Source organism: Homo sapiens, chromosome 3 (assembly GCF_000001405.40).
Source record: "Homo sapiens chromosome 3, GRCh38.p14 Primary Assembly".
In the NCBI taxonomy this organism is placed as follows: Eukaryota; Metazoa; Chordata; class Mammalia; order Primates; family Hominidae; genus Homo; species Homo sapiens.
Window position 1 is genome coordinate 161,667,741 of NC_000003.12, and position 20,278 is coordinate 161,688,018.

General features: G+C 36.3%; 2 annotated features.

Annotated features, from left to right (window-relative positions):
- Nucleotides 6,039–7,024: an enhancer, noted in NCBI's record as "OCT4-NANOG hESC enhancer chr3:161391567-161392552 (GRCh37/hg19 assembly coordinates)". NCBI's record gives its function as "activates a minimal SCP1, AML or CMV promoter by ChIP-STARR-seq in naive H9 embryonic stem cells {active_cell/tissue: H9 hESC(naive)}" and the evidence as "EXISTENCE:reporter gene assay evidence [ECO:0000049][PMID:30033119]".
- Nucleotides 13,689–14,888: an enhancer, noted in NCBI's record as "P300/CBP strongly-dependent group 1 enhancer chr3:161399217-161400416 (GRCh37/hg19 assembly coordinates)". NCBI's record gives its function as "activates an origin of replication core promoter dependent on BRD2, BRD4, P300/CBP, MED14 and CDK7 cofactors, with strong dependence on P300/CBP, by STARR-seq in HCT116 cells {active_cell/tissue: HCT116}" and the evidence as "EXISTENCE:reporter gene assay evidence [ECO:0000049][PMID:35650434]".

Here is a 20,278-nt window from a genome sequence, read left to right on the forward strand (position 1 = left end):
TCTTGGTTAGTCTAGCAGCAAGTGGTTTATCTATCTACAATTTTGTCTATCTTTCAAAAAAACCAACTTTTTGTTTCATTGAATTTTTGAGTTTTTTTTAAGTCTCTATTTCATTTATTTCTGCTCTGATATTTATTATTATTTCTTCCTCCTTCTACTAATTTTGTGTTTTATTTATTCTTACTTTTCTAGTCCCTAAGGTGCATCACTATGTATTTTGAATCTTTTTAATTTTTTGATTTAGGCATTTCTTGCTGTAAACGTCCCTCTTAACACTGCTTTTGCTGTATCCCATACATTTTGTTAGGTTATGTTTTTACTTATTGATTTGTTTCAAGAAATTTTTTGATTTCCTCCTTAATTCTTCCTTGACCCAATGATCATTCAGGAGCATATTGTTTAATTTTTCTGTATTTGTTCAGTTTCTAAAGTTCCTCTCATTATTGGTTGCTACTTTTATTTCATTGTTGTCTGAGAAGATACTTCATATTATTTTGATTTTTTAAAATTCGTTGAGACTTGTTTTGTTTTCTAATATACGATCTATCCTGGAGAGTGTTCCATTTGCTGATAAGAATGTGTATTCTATAGTTGTTTGATAAAATGTTCTGTAAATGTTTGTTAAGTCTATTTGGTCTAATATGCAGCTTAAAACCAATATTTTTAAGTTAATTTTTCTATCTAGGTGATCTGTCTAATGCTGAGAGTAGGGTGTTGAAGTCCCCAGTATTATTGTATTGGGGTCTATCTCTCTCTTTAGAGCTAATAATATTTGCTTCATATATTTGGGTGCTCCAGTGTTGGGTGTATATATGTTTAGAATTCTTATAACCTCTTGCTGAATTGATCCATTTATCATTATAAGATGAACTTCCTTGTCTCTTTTTTAAAAGTCTATTTTATCTGATATAAATATAGCTACTCCTGTTCACTTTTGGTTTTGATTTCCATTAACCATATTTTTCCATCCCTTTACTTTCAGCCAATAGGTGTCTTTATAGGTGAGGTGAATTTCTTGCAGAAAACATATAGTTGGATGATTTTTTAAAAAATTCAGCCTGTCTATATCTTTTCAGTAGAAAGTTTAATCAGTTTATTTTTAAGGTTATTATTGATATGCAAGGGCTTTTTCCTATCATTTTATTAATGGTTCCCATTTGTCTTCTATATTGTTTCTTTCTTTCTCTCTTATTATTTATTATTGTGGTTTGGTGATTTTCTGTAGTGGTAACATTGAGTCTTTTTTCTTTCTTTTTTGTGTGTTTGCTCTCCCAGTGCTTTTTATATTTTTGTGTTTTCATGATGGTTGATATCATTCTTTTGCTTTTGGGTATAAGACTTCCGTAAGCATTTTTGTTTTTTTTTGAGATGTTGTCTAACTTTGTCACCCAAGCTTGAGTGCAGTGGTGCAGTCATGGTTCACCACAACCTATGCCTCCAGGTTTCAAGGGATCCTCCTGTCTCAGCCTCCAGAGTAGCTGGGACTACAGGCATGCAACACCATGACCGGCTAATTTTTGTGTTTTTAGTAGAGATGGGATTTCACCATGTTGGCCAGGCTGGTCTTGAACTCCTAACATCAAGTGATCCTCCATTCCTGGCCTTCCAACGTGCTGGGATAACAGGCGTGAGCCACTGAACCCAGCCTCCCTTAAGCATTTCTTGTAGTCTAATCTAGTGGGTTATTCACTCAGTTTTACTTGTCTGGGAAGAACTTTATTTCTCCTTCCTTTATGAAGGGTAATTTTGCTGGGTATAGTATCCTTGCACAGCAGATTTTTTCTTTTAGCATTTTGAATATATCAATATATCACCTCATTTTCTCCAAGACTATAAAGATTCTGCTGAGAAATTTACTGTTAGTCTGATGGGAATTCCTTTATAAATAACTGGATACTTTTCTCTTTCTGATTTTAGAATTCATTCTTCGTCTTTGACTTCTAATAGTCTGACTATAGTATGTCATGCAGCAGGCCTTTTTGAATTCCATCTATTTGAAGATTTTTTGGCCTCCTTTATTTGGATGTCTAAATCTCTTGCTGGAGTTGGGATGTTTTCATTTATTTTTTGTTAGGTAGGTTTTTAACACTTTTATTTTCTTTTTGCTTTCTGGGAGACTGAAAATTTGAATATTTTGTCATTTTATGGTGTTCATATGTCATGTAGGCTTTGCTCATTCTTTTTTATTCTTTTTTTCCTTTATTTTTGTCTAACTGGGTTATTTCAAAGACTTGTCTTCAAGTTTTGACATTCCTTTTTCTGCTTGATCTAGTCTAGTGTTGATGGTTTTGAATGTATTTTGCATTTCAATCAATGAATTATTCAATCCATAATTTCTTTTGGTTCTTTTTTGATGATACCCATGTATTTGATAAATTTCTTATTTATATCTTGAATTGTTTTTCTGATTTCTTTGTGTTGTTTTCCAGTATTTTCTTGTGTCTCACTGAATTTTTAAAAATCAGTATTTTGAATTCTTTTTCTGGGATTTTGTAAATTTGTTTTTGATTGGGATCTGTTGCTGGAGGATTATTGTGTTCCTTTGATGGTATTATATTTTCTTGCTTTTTATTATTTCCCATGTTCTTCCGTTGATAATCTGTGCATCTGGTGTAACAATTGTTTCTGTAAATTTTTTGAATTTGATTTCATAAGCGAAGACTTTTTTCCTGAAGGTATATCTATGATGTTGGTTGGATAAGGCACTTTGGCTTTGATTTTGGGTCTGTGCAGTAGGGTTGGCTCTATATGCTTTCTTTGGTTGTAAACTCCATCAGTGCTGCCTATGATTCCCTAGGTGGCTTAGGTGCAGTTGTTTGTGGAGGCTATGGTGAGGTTTTGCTGGGGCCTGAGACACCAGGTAGGCCAGTCTTCAGTTCCCAGTGGTGGCAGCAGGGGGCTGAGCATGCCTGTCCTTGGGCCCCAGAGTGGCATATGTTGGTTATCAGCATTAGTGGGTCTAGACATGCTGATTCTTGGGCCTCTAGGTGGCTTGCTTAGGCCCCAGAAATGGCAGTGGTGGGGCACGTGGGTGGGCTGACTCTTTAGCTCCTGGCCAACAGGTGTGGCATGGGCAATGACATTAGCAGTCATGAGACAACCTTCTGGGACCCAAGCAGTCTGCACTGGTTTTGGCTGTGGCTGTGACAGGCTGGGTGGGCCAGTCAGTCCCCAGGTGGCACATATAGGTGGATACCAACTATGATGGCACTAGCAAGTTGAATGGGTCTGACCTCAGATCCCCAGAAGAGTGCTCAGGTGCCAATGATAGTGAATTGGTTGCACGACTCCAAACCCCTAGATAGCATGCTCTGGTACTGGAGACAATGGAGCCAGGCTAGGTGGTCCTGCCCTGAAGCCCTCCTGTGATATATGTAGGTAAAGGGGTTGTAAGCATGGGGAAGAGTAATCCCCAGACTGCTTGTGGAATGCTCCAGTGCCCTGCTTCTAGAGAGGGTAGGGTTTCTTTCAGCAGGAGCAGTTGTAGGTAGGCAACTTGGGCAGCATGTACTTTGCTCATATCTCAGCCCCATAGCAGCCTACAGTGGTGGCTGTTGTGGGTAGTTGAATTTGTCCCCAGGGCATGTGGAAAGTCACAGCTGCTTCTCTGCTAGTGGGGCAGAGTCACTGCTAGTGGGTCCCAACTCTGCCCGGGTAGCAGCTGCTGTGGGCAGGCAATGTTGATGGGGCTCCAGGGATATAGATATTACCTTGGGGCTCCAAGGTAATATAGTCTGGTGGAGGTTGGAGTCTCAAATGGTGCCCTGGTGCAGCTATTTAGGATTCGTGGGTTTGTGGGACTCAGCATGAGCTCCCTCTCTGGAGCAATGTCATTACATGGAGTCCAGGCAGCTCCCTGTTAGTTTTGGGGCCTGTGAGGGTTGAGGGGCTCTCTCATGGCTCAAATTGTAGTGGAAATGTGGACTGCTGGAGGTCTCTTTCTCACTTACCCTTCCTAACATTAGGAAGTCTCTCCAGGCTCTCCACCAATGCTGGTTGAGCAGGCTGCCTTGCTCGCCTCTCCTTTCCTGCTTTGGGTGCTTCCTGTCACTTCGGTGTTGAATTCCAGTGTTCTCTCTTAGATGATCTATTCATAGTGTGCTTATCCACTCACTATTTTGTTTCCCTTCCATGGAAGAGGTGAGTGTCAGATGCATCTAGTCAGCCATCTTGAAGGTCCTCATGAATTCTGAAGAAATTGAAATAATGATTTGGTAATATCTGTAAAAGAAAGAATTGTTGAATTCTGACATAATTATGCAAGTAAATGTAGACTTCCTTCTCAGAAGATTTTGAAGAGAATGGCAGACCAGTGTCTAGAATTGTATACATGTACCCTTGCTTAAGGATGACTTAAAGAGGCAATCATTCTCTAGATTTTTTAAATCCAAAATTAAATAATAGTTTTATAAAATAATTTTGTAGCTAATTTTATTATGTTTTTACTGAAATTCTGAATTGAAGTCTTTCTGGACTTTCCCTACATGAATAAATAAGTTTTAAAATTGTATAAAACTGCACTATAAAAACTTAATATACCCTATATATACTAGGGAATTGTTGCAAATGCTTATCTAGACTTTTAGTATGATAGAGTTTTCATATAACTCTATCAATTATACATTTGAAAGAAGTTTTATATTTTTAAAACAATGTTTCTCACATGATTTTGTTTGAGTTACATAGTAATGCTAGGATTTTCCCCAGGAAGACGGTGACTGTATCAGTTATCTATCACTGTACTATTGTTGGATAACAAGTAGTCACAACAGTTTCGTAGCAAATAACAATAGCCATTTCTGGCTCATGCATCTAGGGCCAGCAACTAGGCAGCTGTGCTGATTTTCACGGGGCTCCTCTTGCTCAACCCAGCTGGGTGTTGGTTGGCTGTGGCTGAGACTAGGATGAGACAAATTGGGTGACTGGGCTCTGCACCACATATTTGTCAACCTGTGGCAGGTCAGCCTGGGCATGTTCTCAGAGTGATGACAGGGTTGCTAGAGAGCACGCAGAAGCATGCTAGGTCTGTAGCCGCCTGGACTCAGAGTTGGCACATCATGGCTTCTGTGTCATTCCATTGGCAAAATCAGGTTGCATAGCTCTACTCAGAGGCATCTTGGAAAGGTATCACCAGGACAAATGGCTTGGATTCAGGAAGGAGTAAAGAATTTGGGTCAATTTTGCAGTCTATCACAGTGATCATAACTCCCTGGCTTCTCTTGTAGAGATGAGGCTCAAATAGGATAAGGAACTTTCTGTTAGAATAAAGTTTAAAAGAATCCCACACTTTAAAATTCTACTTCAAAAATTTTTCCTCTTTTTCTAGTTGTACTTTGAAGGATCCAGGCATCCAATGGACAAATAAGCCTGGTGTTCATTTTAATTTTAAATAACAAATATTGCCTTAGTAATTTGCCCATGTGAAAAGTATTTTCACATGCACTGAAATCACCTGAGATCATTCCTGTAACTTTCTGAGCTAATATTATTGTTGATATTATTTTATAAATGAGGAAATTGAGGATGATAAATGATGTGTGAGAGTTCTTGTTTAAGTCATTTTGATCCTCCGTATTTCACAAAAAGTAAAATAAGTACATTTATCTGCAAAGTGTTAGAAAATGAATGAAAGTATATGAAGGAGTTTTAACAATTCAGCCTTGGTGAACCTAGAAGACACAGTGTTGCATAGAAAATAACCTCAGTTGCAACATTTAGGCTAAATTCCTAGTTTAATCCACTCTTTTCTGACTATTTGAAATGAACTCTGGGAAATATTTTATTTTTTGCCAATGGCATTTATTATTATTTTTTGATGGCTCATAATGTGCCCCTTTCTTCAGAGTAAAAATTCTATTATGGTGATTGAACGCTTGCTTATCCAGACTGAGATGATATGAGAACACAAAAGATGAAATCTGCTGCCAATCTGAGATTTAAAAAAGGAAATTTTGAGGTGTAGAAGGTCCTGTACTTGTGTAGGGGCCAAAGAAAAAGTTCCCCTTTGCCCTCTGAAGTTCTTTAAAAATCAACTGACAAAAGGAAGATTCATAAGAAAATAAGCATATGAAATTTATTAATGTGCATGTTTGTGCATGGGAGCCATACAAAATATAAAAACTCAAAAAAAGGCCCAGATGGTTGATGATTTTATACCATTTTGAGGAATGGGGGCTTGGAGTGTGTCAAGAAAGGTTGTGAGAGGGAGAGAGGAGTAGAGACATGGCTAGCAAAGGCGGTCTTGTTATGTAGATGAAACCTCACAGATAACTGCTCTGAGAAAGAATAGATGGTAGCCTGTGGTCAGTTAATCTTTCCTAGATTTGGACAAGTGAGAGGCTTCAGAGAAAGCCTGGCTGTTTATTTTGCTAATGTAGACTTTTCTCTACATATGCAAATCTCCTCCACAAAAGGCAGCTTTGCAGGGTGATTCCTGTCTGCAGTCCCTCTGAATAGCTGTCTCAAAATATGTAAAACAATAATATTTTGTGGTGAAATACTTTTGATTTTCTTTACTGGTGAGGGCCATATTCATCTGAATGGAGTTTTTTTTTTTTTTTTTCTTAATCTCTTGTATCATTGGACACACAATTTAACATTTCTGACAGTGCCTATGGGTATGACAGTAAAGTAAAACTAGATAAAAATTTGAAGCAAATATGCCTAATAGACTGATTATTTTTCTCTTCTAGGTCTTGAGTTTAGGCATAATAACTTCTATAAATTTCAATGAATGGCATCAAAGAGTTAATGAGGTCATTTCCATAATTATTCATCTTCCTAAAGTGAAAAGAAGCAGGAAGCCACTTCAATTGTCAAAATTAACTGTGATATCAATCAAAAGCTCATAGATTTTGAGATAATTCTGTATTTAAAGTCAATTTAGTTTCCACAGGGGGACTCTAACCTGCCTAGGAGGCTTAATTAGGCTAACTGCCTGAAAAACAGCATAAAACAGATGGGTGGGTTCTCATTCAAAACCAGTTTTATGAGCATTCTCATAGCTCTTACAGAAAATGAATGAACTTTCTGATATCTTCAACTAAGCCTGTGTTTAGTAATTCCATAAGGGGAATGGAAGCGAGTTGGAAGGAATTGATCTTTTTAAAGTGGTCTTTATATTATGTTTTGCTGTTTTTATATCATGATTCCAGATACATCATGAACTCTGAGAGCCCAGGAGAGACAGAATATATTCAGGAGGTGTTTTTAAAGCTTCAGATCAAAACAGAGACTTTTAATATCCCAAGGGAATGCCACTTTGTCCTTGTACCTCCTGAAAAATTCAATAAATCAAATATTTATTAAGCATATTTTATATAAAGTTCTAGAGAATGCAGAGATAAATAAGATACAATTTTTATCCTCAGGAATCTTAATGTGAGTGATAGATACATACACAGTCAATTATAATAAATATTAGACTGTAGTGAACACTAAGGATATAAATAAACATAAATAAGAGCATAAAGTAAGGAGTGACTAATTCTGTCTGATGTGATCAGTGAGGGTTTCCCTGAACAGTCTCCTTTGTAGCAGTTGTGTTTTGTGGACACACTGCAGAAACAGGACAGACCAACCCAAAACATGGGTCGGAGGTCAAGACTAATGATGCCACACGCATACAGAGGGTATAAAACGGTTTATCACTTACATATCGAGGCTTTTTGGGAGAGCAGAGCAGGCTTTCTGAGCTATTCAGAATATGGCTTGTGACAGCAAGGACAAGAGACTAGCTTGGGGTTTTATGGTGGGGAGGGGATAGGGCCAGACTGAGGGTCCCTGAGCTTGTGCATGGTCAGGAACTTACTCGGTTTGGATTTCCTGCCAGCACCAAGGAGGGAGCACCCAGGCGCACTCATGAGCTTGCCCAGATGAGGGTCACAAGGGGAAGAGAGAGGGATGTGGCTTAAAAGCAGTTAGCAGTCAAACATCAAAATGTGAAGTCAGACTCTTCATTACATACAGGTTTCACTGGATTCTTTCTATCTGTATGAGCACTAAAAAAATCACCTCATCCTTTTTCTTTTTTTTTTTTTAACTTAAAAAGAAATGTTTAGAGAGCTGATACTGGTTATAAAACTGTTAGCTTCATCAGCTGTTGATATTACCAGCTTGTGTTTTTCTTGAGAATCCAGGCCAACTAAACTCACTTTGCCTTAATTCTGTCTTGCATGCCTGCATCTCCACCACTCTCTGCCCCCATCCTCCACATTGCCCCTTGTTATCACCGTTTATTCCCTAGGCATCTCTAGTCCATCAAGGAATCTTACTCACTGTCTGCTTCTTCATAGCACTTCTTGCCATTACACCAGAAAAATTTTACTATCACAACCATGACACATCTGACACCATAGCATAAAAACTTTCTGGCTGCCTGAGCTCCAAAAAACTTCTTCACCATGTCTCAGGAATCCACTTTCCAGTACTCACTTTGGAAGCCAATGCATGGAGTTTGGCATGCATTCTGAGATCTTAAGCCCTAGTACTTTAAACTCTAGCATAACCCCTTGTCACACAAATCGTCTTGAGTCTCTCCATTTTGGGAAGTCTGCTGTTTGGCCTCTTTACTTGTTCCTTTTCTCTCCATCAGACATTCCCCTATGGTTCCACTCTCTTCTACTCTAGCTTACACTCTCTGCTCATCCTTTTCCTCAATTAATTTTTTGCCTAAGTAACATTAGACTACCTATTGAGAACCAACCATTGTTTAGACACTAGAAATATTGTATAGGAAATAAATTTAGCTTTCATTTTGGAGTAAATATTTTAGGGGAGGACAGACAAAAAGCAAATAAATAAGCAGATTTTTATAAGCACATGTCAGGATGTGGTAAGAGCTACGGAAAAATATCAAGCAAGTTAAGAGTGCTGCAGAGTATAGGAACAAGGGAATTGTTACTTTATATACTAGAAAAGTCATGGAAGGCCTCACTGACAAGATGATATTTGTGCAGAGACTTGAAGAAAGATAGAGAAGGAGCCATGCAGATCTAGAGAAGTTCTTTCTAGGAGCAGAAAAGAGAATGTACAAAATCTCAGAGGCTGAAATGTGCTTGGCATGTTTGAGAATAGCAAAGAAACCAGTGTGTCTGAAGCAGAGTGAACAACAGAGAGTATAAAACAAGAGGTATAATCGGGAGGATCTGGGGACAAGATAATGTAGGACCTTGTAGACAGTTTTAAGGTTTGAGTGGAGGAATGTCTGGATCCAGCTTAATCTTACGCCTGTTGGTATCATCTTCATCCTCAGTATTCTTGCCCTATTTTCTTTGACTTGTCTTTTATTTTCCTTAATGAGTCTTCCTCTAAACATATAAACATGTTCAAGCATTGTTCCCATATTAAATAAACAAACCACAAAATTGACTTAGTTACTTCCTGATCTTTCTCCTCCTGTTGATAACTAAACGTCTCAAAATAGTAACAGTAATTTACAATCTCATTCACACTTATATACCTCTTATTCATTCTTCAATCCATATAATCATATTCTACAAACTGAACCTACTGTTATCAAGGTTGTTGCTAAATTTAAAGGACATATTCTAGTACCAATTTTAATTTATTCTCTCTTTCTCTGGGAATGAATCATTGACCACTCTCTTTTTAACATTCTTCTCTATTGGTTTTCAAGGCATTACATGCTCCCTAGGGTTCCATTTTTGGAACTTTTCTGTCCTACACATTCTCTTCTCACAATGCCATTCACTTTCATTGCTCCAATTGTCATCTATATGCTGATAACTCTTTAATATATATTTCTAGGCCAAGCTTCTTTTTAAAAATTTAGTTCCAGCCCGTATATCAGAGTTCTTACTACCTCCACTTGAATGTCTCAAAGTTACTTGAAACTCATTGTGTCCATAATTTATCTTCTTGTCCCCCAGAAGGTACTCCTCTTTTTTCCCATGTGGTTCCCAAGTTAGTGATGAAGCCAAGAGTCAATCAAAGTTTTCAAACTAAACTTTGTTTCAGCCCCTTGCTCTGTTGGGCACTAAGTTCTGATGATTCTACATATACTGATCCAGTCACTTCCCTGATTAAGCTCCCCTAGTTAAATTCTATTTGTCCTTGTAAAGTCCTACCAGTTGTCATCCCATCAGGGAAATTATTCCTTAGCCCCTGGATCCCTGTCCTAGGCTAGATTAAACAGCCTTCTTACCTGCTTCCATCACTCCATTTCCACAGCTCTTTAAAGTACTTTATAAGTTTCTCGGTAATCATCTTGACACATGTATGTCTCTGAAGATTGTAAGCAGCTTGAGGGCAAAGATTACGTCTTTCTCATTTTCATGTCTGTAGTGTTTCTTACAGTGACTGACATACTGTAGATTCTGAATAGATATTTGTTACACGAATAGGGCTGGTGGTTGACGTTAGATAAACCATGAGTAGGATTTCATAAGGTAGAGAACAATGTATTAATCAGAATTCTAATGGTATCAAGTTACAGACACTCAATTTTTATTAACATGCTAAGAGGATACTGGGTAACTCACAGAATGGAGGTGGCTATATCCACACTTCAGTAAGGCAATAACCAGGGCAGCTGTGGGACCTGAGGACTGGAAACAGGGGCTTGAATACAATAAGGCTGTTTTTATTATCTACCATTTTTCCCAGTGTGTTGGCTTTATCCTCTCAGCCAGGCTTTCCCCGGGTGGCTAAAACCATGAATGCCTGGAGTTTCTGGATAAACATATGTCAATTACTGGACCGATGAATGAAACCAGTGTGACAAAACATGATACTTAGCTCAGCTTGGCGCTTAGTTCCACTCCTAGACTAAGAGTGGGACTTGTGAATTTGGATTTGATTGGAAGAAGGCAGGCAGTTCCCAATTAGATTATATGATTGAAGTGGAAAAAAGGGAGAGCTGTTCCTCAAAATAGGGAGACTGATGGTATCAGATGAAGAAAAGAGTCTAGGCAGACATAATATATACCTACTAAAGCTAGTAATATTAACTAATGTTCCTTAGTATTTATTTATTTATTTTAAACAGGCCCTGTGCTAAGCACTTTACGTGAATTTTCTCACTGAATTCCTCACAACAACTCTATTAGGTGGGTGTTTCAGTTGAATTCTGTCACCTACAATAACATAATGCCCAACTAAAAGTGGCTTATTTAGGGTTTTATTTTGTTCACATAACCACAAATACAGAGCAAGAGAGGTGATTCCAGTATTGGTTCAACTGCTCAAAGGTGTCCGGGCTCTTAGTTGGCTTCTATGTAGTTTTGTTAGATTTCCACTCATGATCACAGTAGTTGCTGTAGCTTTGAGCTCACATATTCACATGTCACGTTAAAATGTAAGAAAGGAATGGAGGCTTCTCTTTGTGCATCTCTTTTAGGAAGGAGAAAATCTTAACAAGAAATATCCCATAACCCTTTCCTCAGGAGTGACAGATTAGGACGACTTATGTACTTTATCAAGCAAGTGAAGATGAGAAAGCAAGTCTGACGTTTTTGGCTTCATAGTGGGATTGCCTCTTTTCTTGCAAAGTAGGCAATGGTAGAATGGTGTTGGAAGGCAATAAATGTTTTTGCCACAGTGTATGATATTTGGTTGGAATGTTTTAGTGAAAGAAACAACATTTGACTAGCAATAATTTAAGCCACAAGGATAGTTCTTGTTAGTATAACAGGAAGTCTGGAGTTAGGCAGTCTCCATATTGTTTCAGTGACTGGCTCAGTAACATTACCGAGGACACGATTCTCTGTTTCTGCCCCACTGTCTGCAGTGTTGGCGATATTGCTCCTTCTGATCACATAGCTGCTGATAATCCAGAAATTATCTCTGCACATAACAGTTTTACATTCAGCAAGGAAATAGAGTGGAAAAAGTCTTTGTTCTTCAGCCTCTCTGTCTTGCAAGGAAGGAAAATATTTCTCAAAATTTCCAGCGTGGCTGCCATATATTTCATTGGCTACCTTGCATTTCATTTCAGATTTGGGTGACATGCCCTCCCACAGACCTATTCTTGACAAGTGGGAATTGCCTGATGTGACTGGTGTGGATTAAATGTGTAGAAGTAGTATAAACAAAGGTAAGAATGCATGCAAATGAGAGTCTTGCACATCCATGTGGTTGAAGCCTAGGATAGGTGGAGGTTAGAAGTGAAATGAGGGGTGCTGAATATTTGTCTCCTCTACAGAATCCTTTCTAAAATAATTTCCTGGTCATTGGGTATTCAGACACAATAGCTCACAATTGTTTTTACTTTTTGGCCAACATTTCATTTAGCACAGTAAATACATTAATAATAATAAACAATAAATATTAGTTATGTATTAGGGATTATGCTAAGCAGTATAGATACAATGATGAATCTAACCAGTTCTTGACCTCAAGAAACTGATATTCAAGGTATTAAAAAGAATGTATATATCTGATTTTCCATGTATTTGAGTTCATGTTCTTTCTGCAACTTGTGTTTTTTCCCTAGATTTATTATAGGAAAGTTTATAAGTGTTTAGGGATATTTGATAATTTTTCTTATTACAAACTAAAAAAAGAGTTCGATCAAACAGGAATGACATTCCAGAACTTATTGTCTTTTCCATGCTGTCTAAAACTGTGTGAAAATTCAGTTGGTGGGTGGTAACACTAACTGGCATGCTCTTCAACAATCTCTAAGCAAGAAAGTATTAATTAGACATGAAATAGAGAGCATGCTCCTTTCATCCAACTAAGCAGGTGGCTGCTGCTGTTGAGGACAAAGATAAAGTTGGTGATAAAAGTTACATCTTGTCAAATCACTTTATTTTAAGGTAGAAACTTACAGATCTTATTTGTGAGTTGTAAAGCATTCAGTCAAAGATTCATCATGGACTCAATTTATGACTTTGCAAACTTTTCCTATTCCTGTTGTGTAATACATAAATATGTACAATATAATTTTATCAACCCTATCCTTTCAACCCTTCCAAACAGTGATGGCACTGAGATCTATAAAATAACCACTAAATTAAAGTTTCTAGTTGTATGTATAGGCATTGATCCATATTAATTTCATTTAATGACTTGCCAGTCCTTTTTTGATTTCTCCTCTTATCTCTTCTACCTTTCCTTCTGATTTTCTTTCCCCAGAGTTCCCTTCCACTGCCTATTTATATAAAGTACTTGCAGGACTCTATGGCCTTTTCTTTTTCCTTTGGGTTATCTGACATACTGTCATGATTTTAACTACCCTTTACAACAGGGGGCAGCCAGGTAATTAAATACGTGAAGTGGATTAGTGCAAGCAATAGGAAATGATAGGGCCTGTGGCAAACTGTAAATGCCTAAAGACATTTAATGTTATACCTAAGAAAAAAACTCCACAACAAACCCCACCATGCTGGGCCAAATAAAAGGCTCTGCCAGATGAATTCAGCCCTTAGCATCTGACTTGCTACTCCTATCTACCAAATCTGTGATCTCTAGTTGGCCCCTCCGCAGAGCTTCAATCCCACATAGCAAATTGTTTAGTGGCTATTGAATAAGTGAATGCTTCTCAAAATACACTGCATTTTCTTTGCTTTTTCTTTTTGTCTTGGATTGAGGGGAGTATATATACAAGTTTGCTACGTGAATATATTGTGTAATTCTGGGGTTTGGATTTCTATTGAACACATTACCCAAATAGTGAACATAGTAACCAATAAGTAGTTTTTCAATCCTTGTCCCTCTCCTTCCCTTCCCCCTTTTGGAATTCTGAGTTATCTATTGCCTCCATTTTTATGTACATATGCACCCATTGTTTAGCTACCACTTTTAAGTGAAAACATGTGGTATTTGATTATCTGTTTCTGTGGTAATTCACTTAGAATAATGACCTCCAGCTGCATCCATGTTGCTGCAAAGGACATGATTTCATTCTTTTTTATGGCTGCATAGTACTCTATGGTATGTATATACCACATTTTCTTTATTCCATTTACTATTGTTATATATAAAGTTTCAGTGCTGCAAAAGAAATAGCACTCGAATATAAAATTTTGTTTTAATTCTCAGCAAGGCAAGGTACTTCTATAGAAGGGTGCACCCTTACAGATGGAGCAATGATGAGCACACATTTGGACAAGGGAGGGGAAGGAGTTCTTATCCCTGATGCACATGGCCTCTGCTGCTGTGTCCTTTACCTGTTGGCTAGGGTTAAACTGCACGGGCTAAACTAATTCCGATTGGCTAATTTAAAGAGAGTGATGGGGTGAGTGGTTTGGCGGGAAAAACGGTTGTGACAGAGCAGGTAATGGAATGAGTCAGGGTGGAGCAGGTAATCAGAATGAGTCAGGGTGGAGTAGGTAATCGGAATGGGGGTGGAGCAAGTAATTAGAATGAGTCAGGGTGGAGCAGGTGATTGAAATGAGTCAGGGGGGAGCAGGTAATCGAAAAAGGTTGCTTTATGAGGAAGTTAAATTTAAAAGTAGAAGGCAAAGAAGTGAACATACTGACATATTGATTCTTTGAAAAGAAATTTAGAACTCATAGCTAACACTATTGAGGGGCACCTAGATTGATTCCATGATTTTGCTATTGTGAACAGTGCTGCAATAAATATACTAATACAGCTGTTTTTTTGGTAGAATGATTTCTTTCTTTTGGATAGATACTCAGTAGTGAGATTGCTGGGTCAAAATGGTAGTTCTGTTTTTCATTCTTTGAGAAATGCACATATTGCTTTTCACAGGGACTGAATTAATTTACATTAACTCAAAATGGATTAAAGGCTTAAATATAAAACTTCAAACTATAAAAATCCTAGAAGAAAACCTAGGAAAAACTCTTCTGGACATATAGGTCTAGGCAAAAAGTTCATGACTAAGACCTCAAAAGCAAATGCAAAAGAAACAAAAATTGACAATCAGGACTTAATTAAGCTAAAGAGCTTCTGCACAAGGAAAGAAACTATCAACAGAGTAAGCAGACAACCTACAGAATGGCATTATAGAAAACTTTGTTTACTATGCATCTGACAAGGGACTAACATCCAGAATCTATAAGGAATTTAAACAAATCAAAAAGAAAAAAAAATAACTGCATTAAAAAGTGGGCAAAGGACATGAGCAGACACTTCTCAAAAGAAGATGTGCAAGAGGCCAACAAATATATGAAAAATGTGCAACATCATTAATCATCAGAGAAATGCAAACTAAAACCACAATGAGATAACAATCTTGCACCAGTCAGAATGGCTATTATTGAAAGTAAAAAAATAACAGATGTTGGTAAGGATGTGGAGAAAAGGGAACATTTATACGCTGTTGGTGGGAATGTAAATTAGTTCAGCTACTGTAGAGAGCAGTTTGGAGGTTTCTCAAAGAACGCTTATCTACTGCATTTTAGAATCACCTGGGAGAATTTTTGAAAATACTGCTGCTCCAGGGGCTAGGATCTGAGCTTTAAATGTTTTTAAAAAGACTTCTTCCAGTGTTAAGAATCAATGCCAAAATAGATTTTGTTTCAACTCGTAAGCATTTCCTGTAATTAAAAAATGTAAAAGACAGATGATCAGAAACAAGAGGAGCATCTTAAAATTATAAATTTACAAATGCACAAGTATTTTGGTTTATCTTTTAGTTGTTAGTTTCTAGTTTTATTGCATTATGATGAAAATTATAGTTTTCTATGATTTGTATTTTTGGAAATTAGGTGTTTTGTGAGCAATCTTTGAAAGTTTTATTCCTACATAAATAATGTGCATTTTCTGCTTGATGAGAAAATATTTTCTTTATTTGATATTATGCTTATAAGTTAACTTTTTAAAATCTCCTTTCTCCTAATTTTTGTGTATTTGATGTAACCATACTTGGAGACATATGCAAAATCTACCTCTCTATATAAATTTTGACTTGTAAATTTTTCCTTATACTTCTAGAATTTTGTGTTATATTTTGATGTTAATTTTTTGGTATATAAAATATGTAACTCCTTGTAATTTTTTGGTGAATTGTTTCTCTTATCATTTCAAATAATTTCCAGACATTGAATTCTATTTTGTTACAGCTACATTTCTGGGGAGAAAGTAAAGATTTGTCTGAAGATTCATCTATCCATCTGGATTGCACATATTATCTATATAATCTTATATATAATCTTATGTATAATCTTATATATTATAATCTTATATATAATCTTATGTATAATCTTATATATTAAATCTTATGTACAATCTTATATATAATCTTATATATAGAGACAGATCTATCCTCACTATAGAGATATAGATATCTATATATCATCTATATTTATATCTATATCTTCTATATCATCTGTATGTATCTATATCACTTCATATGTATAACTCTCTCTATATATTTTTTATCTTATTTTTAATCTATCTGTGTCATTTAGTTTTAACTATCTCATTATCAATCTATGGCTGGATTAGTAGTTTGGAATCCAATGTGACAGTCTCTATTTTTGTGGCAGAATATAACCCATTCACATTTTTTATGTTTATTGATCACTGAATTTATTTCTGCCATCTTTTTTGGTGTCATCCTTTAGTTAAGCTTAATTTTCTCCTCCTTCTCTGCCTTTTATTATTATTTTCTTTCTACAGATTTATCTTAAATTTTAGGCAAAGCTATTTGTATTTTCACATTCCATGTGTTTAAAAAGCAAACATTTGGATCTATATTACTATTTTTATATGGTACATGTCTATATTCTTGAATCATGTCTTTTTCTTGTATTTAGTTTTTATTTTTGTGAAGTGCAATATTGAATACATTCTCAAGAAGTTATTTGAGAACAGTTTATATATCATAAATTTTCAAAGAATGTCTTTAATTTTTCCTGACAGTTGAGTTTAATGACATACTTCTGTTTTTTTTTAGTATCCGTTAATAAATATGGTACATATTATAGAAAAAATATGTTTTGTTTTTCTCAATTGTATTAACATGTTATCTGTATCTTTGGAATTCAGAAATTTCACCAAGATATGTCTAGGTAAGCTTCTTTATCTTAATTCCATACAGGATTCTTTCAATTTAAAGTTTAACGTCTTTTAGCTCAAGGAAATTTTCTTCAGGAGTCTATGTCTTCCCCTGTCTTCTCTCTGTCTTCTTCTGAAGCCCCTATTAGTCTTCTTGCAGACTTCTCAGATAGAATTCTCTACCTTTAATATTTTCTCACAAATTTTTCAACTTTTTATCTTTTGTGTATTGTGTTTGATGATTATCCCTGAGTTTGTTTTTCCAGCTCAAATAATTAATCTTCTACTTGGATTTGTTTTACTACTCTATCTATTGGTCTCTTGACTTTGGAAATAATATAAAAAATTTCCAAATATTCTCATTGCTTCTTTTTCATAGCAGCCTCTTCTCACTTTTCTCCTTCTCCTTATTTTCATCTTTCTCCTTCTTCTCTTCCTCCATTTACATCTTCTTTTGATTCTTTGTAATACTCTAAACCTCTGGCTGTATTAATTATACTTAAGTCCATTTAAGTAATTATACTTATTGAAGATTTTCTTTTTCAAAAATAATAAAGTTTCATCAGAAGTTACCTTTTCTCTTGGTAAGGTTTGGTATCACCTGTCTTTTTTCATCAAATATTTGGTGCTTCTTGTTTGTTTGTTTGTTTGTTTATATAGATGAGAATTATGCTCAGCACTAATAGTAGCTTGTGTATCTTTCTTAAGCCTGAGTGAGTATCTTACTGTTTTGGGAATAAAAGAAGATTTGAATGAGTAAGAAGGATGGGGAAATTCTTGTGGCATAGTCCATTTTCCTTCAGAGGTCACAAACCACTGACTAATGTGAAAATTGGAACATTTTATATGAAATTAGAGATTTTATTTTTTCTTGAAAAATATAAAAATTTAGCAAATAAGAGTCTGTGTCTTTGCATGGCAACAACTGGCTAGAACTAAGTCAAGTCTGCCCTTTCCATGTGCTCCTGTTTGTCATAGTCTCCATCACTCCCATCATTTAAACCCTACTCATTTCAGTGATGTTCATCTGTCAAGCCCTTTTGACATATGAGCTTTCAATCACTGCATTATGGCATAAAGGTAACATGTCTTCTAGAGATGAGGGTCGGTGTCAGTTACCAGGGCATTCGCTCTCCTGATACGATTTGGATGTTTTGTCCTCTCCAAGTCTCATGTTGAAATGTGACCTCCACTATTGGAGGTGGGCCTAGCAGGGGCTGTTTGGTTCATGGAGGTGGATCTCTCAAGAATGGCTTGATGCCCTCCCCATGGTAATGAGTGAGTTCTCCCCACCCAAATCTCATCTTGAATTTTAATCCACATAATCCCCATGTGTCAATGGAGGCACCCAAAGTGATTAGATCATAGGGGCAGCTTCCCTCATGCTGTTCTGGTGATAATGAGTGAGTTCTCACAAGATCTGATGGTTTTTTAAGTGTCTGGCATTTCCCTTGCTCACACTCACTTCTCCTTCCTGCCGCCTTGTGAGGAAGGTGCCTTGCTTCCCCTTTGCCTTTGCCATGATTGTAAGTTTCCCGAGGTCTACCCAGCCATGCTGAACTGTGAGTCAATTAAAACTTTTTCCTTTATATATTACCCAATCTCAGGCAGTTCTTTATAGCAGTATGAAAATGAACTAATACAGTTCTCAATCTGTTAGTTTATATGAGAGTTGGCTGTTTAAAGTCACCTGACACCTCCTCTTCTCCTCTTGCTCCCTTTTGCCATGTGATACACCACTTGCCCTTTGCCTTCTACCATGATTATAAGCTCCCTGAGACTTTACCAGAAGCCAAGCAGATGCTGATCCCATGCTTGTACAGCCTGCAGAACTGTGAGCCAAATAAACTTCTTTTCTTCATAAACTATGCAGCCTCAGGTGTATAAAGAAATTTAAAGCAATGTACAACAGAGTAACACATCCCCTCTCTAGCTCTATGTCCATTCAGAAGTCTCCTAAGTCAGACTTGCACTGTTATATAGGTGGTTTTATTTTATGGTCAACTGGAGTTAGTTTTTCGGAGAGCAGTGAATTAGTTTTTCCACAGGCTATTTCGTTAATTAAATGATATATCTGTTTCTTTTCTAGCCCACTACTTCTTCGATCTAGGGGCAAGTCTAGTGTGTTTGTGTGGGGGATTTATTCTTGTGGGAAATATTCCTTTTCCCAAAAAATTATTATAATAAAATACTAATACATAAAAATAATGGTCACCTATTACTATGTCAGAATTTACTATTTTTGAGGCACTAGGATTAGTATTTACTATTACAAATCATCCTAAGAGCTCCTTAGTTAAATCAAGTATTATCGTAACTTTTTAGGTTTGAGAAATAGAAAGCAAAAAGAGTGTGAGAAATTTGCTGAAGGTAACATAGTTAATGAGTAGAAAGGGTGGATTTTGAAGCCAGGTAATCTGCTACCACCATTTGGGCCCTTAACCGCTATACCAGATGCCTTTCTACTTAAGATGATCGCTTCCTTTGGGGTTTTCCGTATTTGCAATATAGCTTTCAGAAATTCTGCACTCTTTTCATCTTTGGATGTTATTTTCACTAGTTTTTCTAAAGTGCAGTTTGACTTTTTTTTGGTGGTGGGGGTATGTTGTCCCATTGGGAGAGGGCTTAATCCATCATACAAATTGTCTTGCTTCCTAACTAAACAGTGATCCTTGATGGTGAGGAGATTTATCTTATGTATCTTTAGATCCTTTACTGCAGCACATTGCCTGGCTGACAATGACATTCAACACATGTCTAGTTTGAAAATAACTGTTTTTGTTTCTTTTATCCTTTGAAATGTTATATATTGGGTAGATATTTATATATAATGTATTAAAGAAAATCTATTTAGACCATTTAAATCAAACCATATTTCTTGACATTTTTCATAATTGTTTCCCCTTGGTATATGGATTTTTTGAGCTTTAGTGCTCTCATTTAGGCTGTTTATTCAGTCATACATCCATTTGGGTATCCAATCATTTATTTTTTCTTTCATTTAACAAAAGTGCATTGATCAGTTGCTATACACAAAGCAATACTATTATTGGCCCTGATAAAAAGGAACTTACAAGCTAGTAATGGAAAGAAAATCTCTACACATATAATTATGTTACACATTAACATGTACAAAAAGACAACAGATAACAAGCTCTGGAAGTCCTTGAGAGAGAAGTCATGAAAAGGTACTGAAAAGCTAATATTAATTGGATGAATTTTGAAGGAGAGAAAAAATTGGAACATGTGGTGATAGCAACCTTATTGATTTCCTATAAAGTAATGCAATTTAAAGTGTATATATATATGTGTGTGTGTGTGTGTGTATATAAATGTGTTTGTGTG